Source organism: Homo sapiens, chromosome 2 (assembly GCF_000001405.40).
Source record: "Homo sapiens chromosome 2, GRCh38.p14 Primary Assembly".
In the NCBI taxonomy this organism is placed as follows: domain Eukaryota; kingdom Metazoa; phylum Chordata; class Mammalia; order Primates; family Hominidae; genus Homo; species Homo sapiens.
Genome location: NC_000002.12, coordinates 9,017,847 through 9,025,950, shown reverse-complemented (window position 1 = coordinate 9,025,950; position 8,104 = coordinate 9,017,847). Strand labels below are relative to the sequence as shown.

Here is an 8,104-nt window from a genome sequence, read left to right as displayed (position 1 = left end):
CACCGGTTGCTCTATCCTACAACTCACACTGTGGCCACATACCCAGAATACATTTTCACAACAGCAATCTTAGTGGATCCTGTATACGTACGTATCTGATCCAGGAGAGAAACAAGATAATAGTTAGAAGTCACGTGAATCAGATAAAGCCACAATAACCCCTACAAGGCACAAAACATTGCTCATCACCAATCATCTCTTCAAAATACATCATGTTGAATATTCTCTTGATGTACCATTTGTATAATTTTAAACAACAAGAGCATAGATAATTTTTTGTATAATATAGCGTATAATATAGAGAAAAAGCACTATTGGAGTATAATAAATGAAACCACTTATTGGAAAAGCTAATATTAATTAGACTAAAGATAATTTTTGGAAAGATACACTTTAAATAATGATGGAAAGGTTGGAAATAACCTCCAGGGATATTCAATGTGGATCCACTCTGATGTAAAATTGACTTTCAAATGTTCCAGTGGAAAAAGCCAAATCTGAAAAATAAGAAATCTATATGACCAAAGTATTTTCGTGTGTCTATGGCCAATTCCAGAGTGGAGGGGGCAGCCTCCCCTCTGGTGAGAGTGCAATGCAGACGCCTCAGTGTTCACGAAAGGGTGCTCTGCTGCTTACGTATCTGGCAATGGGAGCATGTGGCTTTCCCTTCAGTTACAATATTGGTTATCTGACCTTCAGCTACATGTTAGAGACTCAACTTATGAACTGTCTGAATATAGCTCATTTCAAAACTCCAGCTGAGACAAATGTCATTTGCCAAGGACCCTGTTCCTTGAAGTTCCCTGAGTTTTAGCCCTGTGTCAAGATGAGTCTCTAGAAAGCTTGGACCCAACCTGTATTCCCTTCATCACAGAAGAAAAACTTCGCAGCATGGCTCAGCTTCATAAGAAACAGTCACGAGTAGAACTTTTGGGCCATTCTTGTGAGACTGGGGGGACACTGTCCGGCGTGCTACTTACTAAATCCACCCACTTGAGAAGTTGCTCACAGACAGGAGAGCCAGAAAACAATTGTTTCATGATGGACTGGAGTGTTTCATTTTCTAAGACACTGAAAAATATGTAATCAGTGTGTTTCCCTCTTTGTCTTCATCCCCAAGAAACTCAGAGCCAATTATGTGCTTATTTGCAGATTTTCTCAGCCCAAGATTTATTTATTTATTTATTTATTTATTTATTTATTTATTTATTTCTTCTTCTTCTTTTTAACAAGGCCTTTTTTTTTTCACTTCCAACATCTGGAGAAAACACATAAGGAAATGTTAATAAATAGTTACAGGAATTGATAACATTGAAATATATGTACTTCCTTATAGAGGGAAAAATAATCAGAAAAGATAGAATCTTTTAAATCAGTTTTACACAAAGAATACCAAAAAATTTAATCATAAAAACAATCTCATTTAAGAGGATTCAGTTTACTTCCTTTCCTAGGGTCAACCAAATAACTAATGTCAAATCCCCAAAGCACATAGGTACAATATTTCCTCACAAAAGAATGACCTAGGATTTCAATGTTCAAATTTTCAAATTTTCCACTTTTTGAAAAAATTGTGTTATATTTAGATTCAGGAGCCCATGTGCATGTTTGTTACATGGTTATATTGTGTCATGGTGGGATTGGGCCTCTAGTATACTCATCACCCAAACAGCGAACATTGTACCCAATAAGTAATTTTTTAACCCTCACCTCCTCAACCCTCCCCACTTTTGGAGTCCCCAGTGTCTAGTGTCTATTATTTCCATCTTTTTGTCCCTGTGTACCCACTAGTTCACTCTCACTTTTAAGTGAGAACATGAAGTATTTGATTTTCTGTTTCTGAGTTAGTTCACTTAACATAATGGCCTCCAGCTCCATCCATGTTGCTGCAAAGGACATGATGTCATTCCTTTTTATGGCTGCATAGTATCCCATGGTGTATATATACCACATTTTCTTCATCCAGTCAACCGTTGATGGACACATAGGTTGGTTCCATGACTTTGCTATTGTGAATATTGCTGTGTGACGAATATACAAGTGCAGATGTCTTTTTTATGTAATGATTTCTTTTCCTTTGGGTAGATACCCAGGCATAGGATTAATAGGATTGCTGGGTCAAATGGTAGTTCTATTTTTAGTTATTTGAAAAATTTCCATACTGTTTTCCATAGAGATTGAACTAATTTACATTCCCACCAACAGTGTATAAATGTTCCCTTTTCTCTACATCCACACCAATATCTATTGTTTTTTGACTGTTCAGTAATAGCCATTCTGACTGGAGTAAGATGATATCTCATTGTGGTTTTAATTTGCATTTCTCTGATGATTAGTGACATTGAGCATTTTTTCATGTGTTGTTTTCAGCCCAAGATTTCTTTTTTTATTTTTTTAATTTTATTTTTTTTATTTCAATAGGTTTTTTGGGGAACAGGTGGTGTTTGGTTACATGGATAAGTTCTATAGTGGTGATTTCCGAGATTTTGGTGCACCCCTCACCTGAGCAGGGTACACTTTTACCCCTCACCCCCCTCCCACCCTTCTCCCTGAGTCCCCAAATTCCATCATATCACTCTTGTACTTTTGCATCCTCATAGCTTAGCTCCCACTTCTAAGTGGTGTCTGCCACCATGCCCAACTAATTTTTGTATTTTTAGTAGAGATGGGATTTCACCATGTTGATCAGGCTGGTCTTGAACTCCTGACCTCAGGTGATTCACCCACCTTGGCCTCCCAAAGTGCTGGGATTACAGCCGTGAGCCACCACGCCCGGCCCAAAAAGATTTTTTATAGGATTAAAAGGACCATCAAGTTTATGATGTTTCTACATAAAGTTATATTCTGACATCTTTGCTGAACAGCATTCAAATATGGCCAGACAGTTTGTATCTCTGGCATTCTTAAAGTGCTGCCATGCCTCTATTATGCACTTCATATGATAATGATCTGTTAGCATCTAACTTTGAGCTCCTGAAGGGAAGGGCTATGTCTTATTTCATTTTCCCACTAGTGGTCCATAGCACAGTATTTTTTGCACACTAAATAAAAAATGGATTTTCAGGAAGATCATTTTCCTCATTTGCCACTTTAATCAATATTCTATTTATGTTGAAATACAGTACTGGTTGTTTTGTTGCTGTTGTTATTCTGCCCTTACCAAAAATGGGAAACAATGTTATAAAGAATCAAAAAAAGAATAATCAAATTCCTTTCCCTAGCTACCTACCTTTCTGCCCCCAATCTCTGATTTTTCAAGCTTTCCTTATGGATAATTTCTTCTTAAAAAATCATTACTATGTATCTACCTTGGAACTTGTCCAGATCCTCAATTTTATTTAGTTTGGAATTTTAAATTTTTGTTTTTTAAGATACCTGTATAAATTATTCCAATAACTTTTGAATATTTATCTTCATCTTTCATGTTGACAACTTTCATTCAATGTAGTGAACAAGAATTTATTGATCACTGAGGGCACTGTTCTGTTAGAGGTCAAATAAAATTCACATAAGTCTTTCTCATTCAGCTATCTGAAAATCCCCATTTTTTCCTTCGTATGTTGGAACTTAAAAACTACTAATTTACTTGCAGAAATGGAAAGGGTAAAAGGAGGGTGTGGTTGACTGCAAAGATGGCCAACAAGAATCCTGCCCATCCCTATGCATGCATGCTTCTCCTTCTACCAAGAGGTGCAGTGCATTTCTCCTCCCTTGAGATTGGACTAACCTGTGACATTTTGATCAATGAAGTGACACTGTACTAGTTCTAAGCCAAGGGGGTAAAAAGTCTGGCAGCCTTCTACTTTCTTTCTCTTGGATCCCTGAACCACAATGTGAGGAAGCCAGGCTATCCTGTTGGACAGAGAGGCCGCATGGAGGAACACTGTGGTGCCCCAGCCAACAGGCAGTGCCATGGTCCCAGATATATGAGTCAGGCCATCTGGCAACCTCTAGCCTTAATTCAGCCCAGCTGCCACCATGTGAATCAGAGAGAAAACATTCCACTGAGAGTTGCCCCAACTGAAGATCCACAGAATGGTTAAGTCAATATGTTTGGGGATAGTTTGTTACACAGCTGTAGAAAACTGATATAAAGGAGGTGTGGTGGTTAAATCATAGGTGTCAATGTGACTGGGTTAAAGGATGCTCAGATGGCAGGCAAAACATTGCTTCTGGGTTAGTCTGTGAGGGTATTTCCAGAAGTGATCAGTATTTGAGTCAATAGACCCAGTAAAAAGCCTCCTCTCTCACCAATTGGGCTGACATCATCCACTCCATTAAGGGTCCAAATAGAAGAAAAAGGCAGAGGAAGGGTGAAATCTCTCTCCTTCCTGAGCCAGGACATCCATTTTCTCCTGCCCTCAGACATTGGTGCTCCTGGTTCTGAGGCCTTTGGACTCAGACACACTGGCTTCCCTGGGTCTCAAGCTTGAGGGCAGACCATGGGACTTCTTGGCCTTCACAGTCATTTGAACCAATTCCCATAATAAATCTCCTTTTGTATATCTCTGTGTATTCCATTGGTTCTGTTACTCTGAAGAACCCTGATTAATCTAGAAGGAAAAGGGAAACCCTTTCCCTGTGCTTAGCATCTATATTCCTTTTCTGCATATGCTACAATGCTAGTTTCTATTCTCCCTACCTATCAAAATTCTACCCGTCTTTAGAAACTATACAAAGATCCAAGTATAGGAGATTGTGTTTTTCCAGATTATTTCCTCCCCCAGAACTAAGGCACAGTATCTTCAAGATGAGTCTGGAACTTATTGTTCCAGAAGTGGTCCATGCGCTAGGAAGTAAGAAAGCATGCCCACACACACACAAATTATAGGGACATTCAAGGGGATCTCACTGGCCAAATCTGTTACCATTTGCCACCAAAATTAAAAAGTACAGTAATGAATTATAAATAATACAGGAATTCATGAGTTTAGACCAATAATAAATATATATGAAAGAAAAGGAGGAAGAAGGAAAAAAGAGAGAAGGATATGTTGATAGATGATAGACAGGTAGATAGATAAATAGGTAGATAGATAGATAAACAGATAGATAGATAGATATAGAGGAGAAGGAGGGAGAATGAGGTAGGTCTCTTGCTTATACCAAAATGTCAAAGCCAAATGGAAACTATGGTGGGAGCGTTGGAGTTGGAAAATCCTAATTTTGTAACCATCACGTTCAATGTTGGCTCCAGCAATTAACAGCTGCTAAGTGTAAGGGAAATATTGATGAGAAGCAAGATATTTGTAAGTTCTTAATGTGCCAGTCTCTAATAAAACTCATTATTGGTTACAAGGGAGAAAAATAAATCATAACTATAGACTGGAAAGATCAGACAACACCTTAACTAGATGATCAAAATAAGCATCGCCTATGAAGGACAGGTGGATATCATGTGCTACCAGATGCGATACCCTGAAAAGAACACAACCTTGCCTGTGCCGTCTTCTGGCCAAGAACACATAAACCCAGTGTAACCACAAAGGAACAGCAGATAAGCACAAATAAGTACTGTTATCATGGTAAAAATAGTGGGAACTAAAACCATAGTCTCCAAAAGCGTCAGTGTCATGAAGGTCAAAGAAAGCCTGTGGTTTCAAGGAGGCTAAAGAGCCTCAATAACAAATGCAATATTTGACCTGGATCCTGTACTGGGAAAAGCGCCTTAAAAAATGCTACTAGATGAAGGGAAAAAATCGGAAAATGGATTATAGATTGATAGATTAGAGAAATGCGTTATGTATCAATATAATTTATGAAGTTGATAACTGTACTGTGGTTATTTAAGAAAAAATCCTAACCTTAAAAAATATACATTGAAGTATTTAGTGGTAATGGGCCATAATGTATGTAACTTACCCTTAAATAATTTTTTTAAAGTGTGTGTAAAAGAAATAAATAAATAAAGAGCAAGCATCTATGATAAAGCAAATGAGGTAAAATGTTAACAACCGGTGAATCCAAATCTGGATAAAGGGTATACAAATGTTCCTTGTACTATTTTTATTTTCGTAATTATTTTAAGGCTGAAATTATTTTCAAACAAAAGTTAAGAAGTTCTACCATTCTAAGATATAGCCCATGAAACTGTTTAATTCTCAAACCTAAATCATCTCCCCTTTCTAAATCCCACAGCGCTTTACTGTTTTGTTTGTTTTTGTTTTTGTTTAATTATCACGTACAGCCTTGTGTTGTTGGTTGTCGCAGGTTGTTTGGGGTGTAGAAGTCTGGATTTTGCCTTCTTGGTTTCATAGGAAGTCCTCCGCATGCTCTTTGTAACTCTCTCGTGTCCCTTGTAGAATGCTGGCACAGGGCAGGTGCTCTGCATGGGGTTTGGAAAGCTCTGGGTACCAAGATTTGGCTTAAAGTCTTTGCTCTGCCACTCAATTGCTCTGTGAACTTGGCAAACTAACATAAGTCTCTGTGCCTCAGTTTTCCTGTTTGTTAAATTGGAGGGCAGTAGGTGGCTTTTCCTGTTCTAAAATCAGTGGTTCAGTATTTGTGTGGTTATGTTTCAGCAGTTTAATGTTCTAGATGAAAATGTAAACAATTTTGGGTTAGGAAACCATTTTGAGATTTTTTTTTTTTTTGACAGAGGCTAGCTCTGTTGCCCAGGCTGGAGTGCAATGGCACCATCTCAGCTTACTGCAACCTCCACCTCCCTGGTTCAAGTGATTCTCCTGCCTCAGCCTCCTGAGTAGCTGGGATTACAGGCATGCACCACCACACCTAGCTAATTTTTATATTTTTAGTAGAAATGGGGTTTCACCATGTTGGCCAGGCTGGTCTGAAACTCCTGACCTCAGGTGATCTGCCCGCTTTGGCCTCCCAAGTGCTAGGATTACAGGCTTGAGCCACTGCGCCCAGCCAATTTTGAGATTTTTAATGTGTGTATATATGTCAATTGATATGATAACAGGTTTCAGCTATTAAAAAAGATTCAACAGCATGGCACTACATTGAGTTTCATAGAGACTGCGCCAGGAGCCCACGAGAGCCGGATGGGCATGGGGCGAGGCTGTGCCTTGCCAAGGAAACATAACTAACTATGGGCAAAGGCGATCCTAAAAAGCCGAGAGGCAGAATGTCATCACAGGCATCCTTTGTGCAAACTGGCCAGGAGGAGCACAAGAAGCAGCACCCAGATGGTTCCGTCAGCTTCTCAGAGCCTTCTAAGAAGTGCTCAGGGAAGTGGAAGGTCACGTCAGCTAAAGAGAAAGCAAAATCTGAGGACATGGCACAGGCAGACCAGGCCTGTGAAATGAAAGCGAAATGAAACCTACATCCCTCCCAAAGGAGAAATAAAAAAGAAGCTCCGGGATCCCAATGCATTCAAGAGGCCTCCTTCGGCCTTTTTCTTGTTCTGGACTCCAACATTAAAGGAGAACATCCTGGTGTGTCCATTGGTGATGTTGTAAAGAAACAGAGAGGTGTAGAATAACAGTGCTGCTGGTGAAAGGCAATCTTGTAAAAAGAAGACTGCAAAGCTGAAGGAAAAATACAAAAACGATATTGCTTATTGCTGCATACTCAGCTAAAGGAAAACTGGATGCAGCAGGAAAAAAAAGAGTCATCACGACTGAAAAAAGCAAAGAAGGAAGAGGAGGAAGATGAAAAGGATGATGAGGAGGAGGAAGATGAAGAAGATGATGATGACTAAGTTGGTTTTAGTGCAGTTTTTCCTTGTCTATAAAGCATTTAACCACCCCGTACATAATTCACTCCTTTTAAAGAAAAAAACTCTGAAATATAAGGCTGTGTAAGATTTGTTTTTAAACTGTACAGTGTCTTTTTTTGTACAGTTACATTACCAAATATGTCTTTAAATAACCCTGTCTTGGTGGTATTTTCAATAGCCACTAGCCTTGCCTGGTACAGTATGGGGATTGTAAATTGACAGGCAAATGTAAAGCAAGTCCTTGTTGGTGTACAGAACAAATTAGTTATATACAGGGATGGTAGCTTTTTCATCTTCAGTTGTCTCTGATGCAGCTTATAGGAAATAATTGTTGTTCTGTTAGCATTGTTGTTCTGAATACCACTCTATAATTGCAAAAAAAAAAAAAAGTTGCAGCTGTTTTGTTGACATTCCAAACGCTCC

General features: G+C 38.8%; 1 pseudogene; it reads left to right on the top strand.

Moving 5' to 3' along the window:
• Window positions 6,947-7,888, top strand: HMGB1P25 (high mobility group box 1 pseudogene 25; annotated as a pseudogene).
• Window positions 7,889-8,104: the final 216 nt, after the last annotated feature.